The sequence below is a fragment of the Homo sapiens genome, chromosome 2 (assembly GCF_000001405.40).
Source record: "Homo sapiens chromosome 2, GRCh38.p14 Primary Assembly".
In the NCBI taxonomy this organism is placed as follows: domain Eukaryota; kingdom Metazoa; phylum Chordata; class Mammalia; order Primates; family Hominidae; genus Homo; species Homo sapiens.
Window position 1 is genome coordinate 17,251,079 of NC_000002.12, and position 1,982 is coordinate 17,253,060.

The following is a 1,982-nucleotide window of genomic DNA, read 5'->3' on the forward strand; positions in this document are numbered from 1 at the left end:
GGTACGGTTAATACTTATCAAGTATCATGATGAAGTGAAATAAAAAATGCAGAGATGTAACTTATGAAAGTGGAATGAGTTCACAAAGGGCCTCGTGGCTTTTATCATTTGGGGACATCTTTAATGTTCCAGGCCCTGAGCTCATGTGAGTAAACTATAAAACCAGACCTGAATATCAAATGCATGGAAGTCAGCCAAGATGAAAAAAAAATAAGGGCCAGACAAAATTGGCAGAATGAAAGCACCATAAAAGGCAGAGACTAACACCAAAGGGACAGCGGCCATGTGGGTGGGAGAGACTGAAGAAGGAGACCACCTGACATGCACAGGCTTCAGTTCCCAATTCACTGAGCCAAGAACTCAGAACTAATCAAAGAAAGGCTGCCACAGGACTACACAAAGCAGATGCCGCATGCCCTCCTTTTATGAAGCTTTTCCTTTATCTGCTGTTTCCAACCGAGCTTACTGCCTCCAATGACAGGTGAAGCGCTTCTAGGACTAAGAAGGAAGCCATGTTCTTGTTATACCCCTGCCTTATCCACAGGCAGGCACCACCATGCCTGAGCAGCTTACGCAAGCAATCAGTTCTCTTCCCATTTATATTTATATTTACATTCACTTATATTTTTGTTCACCAGGACATCTTGTTTTTTTGACACAAATAGCACCAGTAAAACCAATCCTCAACTGGGTGGAGAAAGCTGAACCAGTGACTGGGAACCTTCTAATAATTTCTCTGCTTCCAGCTTCCTAGCATTCCAGAAAACTCCCGTCCACCTAAGGAGATACCACAATCACTGGTAAAAATCTTCCATATGTTCCTCAACCATAAGGATGTCCCCTCCAGACCTCCAATTAAAGGGGGAACAATTGACCAAGGGCCCCAACTGCTGTGCTCTGAAGTCTACCCAAAGGCTGCACCCAGGCCATTCTCCCCACCGGCTGTTGCCAGCCAATGCCTGAGAGCAGCAGAGGTACAGGCCCATTCTGGGGAGACCTAGGACTGTTTGGGTGGTTAAAGTTGGCTTGAGGAGTCTCCAATGCCTTGAGGAGTCTCCAATGCCTTTACACCCAATCCTTAGACTTCAGGACAGTCTGGGATGCTTTTATTCACCCCATATTCACTCCTTCACTCAAGATCACAGGGCGACTTCTCTCCCACACTTTCCTGACCTGACTCCCTCCTCATTTTCTCTTCCAGATGTTTTGTGTAATAATCTTGTCTTGACACCTGATTCTCAGAAAAACCAGCTAACACTTGCCCTACACAACTATACATTTGCTGATTTAGTCACTTTTGAAATATTTGCTAACCATATACTACTTCTAAAGCACTATGCTAATAAGCACTCTGGGGCTACAAAAAAGAAACTGAGCCCTGACCTCAAAAAGCCACAGAATAGGCAGGGCACAATGACTCACGCCTGTAATCCCAGCACTTTGGGAGGCCAAGGGCAGTGGCTTACTTGAGGTCAGGAGTTCGAGACCAGCCTGGCCCACATGGCGAAACCCCGTCTCTACTAAAAATACAACAAATTAGCCAGATGTGGTGGTGGTCACCTGTAATCCCAGCTACTCCGGAGGCTGAGGCAAGACAATCACTTGAACCCAGCAGGCAGAAGTTGCAGTGAGCCGAGATCGCACCACTGCACTCCAGCCTGGGCGACAAGAGCGAAACTCTGTAAAAAGAAAAAAAAAGCCATTGAACATTAGGAGAGAAGATAAATACATAGATATTGGTAAGTGCTATATTAGAGGAAAGTGCACAAAAGTGTAGAAGCCCATGATGGAGTGATGTGGAAAGCAAATGTGGAGGATTCATATAGGCTTCTGAGCCAAATACTAAACTAAAAAGAAGGGTTTCTCAATAAGCTTGTCTCCTTTGTGGATTAACTCTTGAAACAAATCCCAGTGCTACATTGTTAGGTGGGCACCTGTGAGAGAAAGATCTATAGGCACAAGACAGTGACACTGGGGCAGAA

At 45.3% G+C, this 1,982-nt stretch overlaps 1 annotated feature.

The window, feature by feature from the left end:
• Positions 522-1,721: an enhancer, noted in NCBI's record as "MED14-independent group 3 enhancer chr2:17432867-17434066 (GRCh37/hg19 assembly coordinates)". NCBI's record gives its function as "activates an origin of replication core promoter dependent on BRD2, BRD4, P300/CBP and CDK7 cofactors, and independent of MED14, by STARR-seq in HCT116 cells {active_cell/tissue: HCT116}" and the evidence as "EXISTENCE:reporter gene assay evidence [ECO:0000049][PMID:35650434]".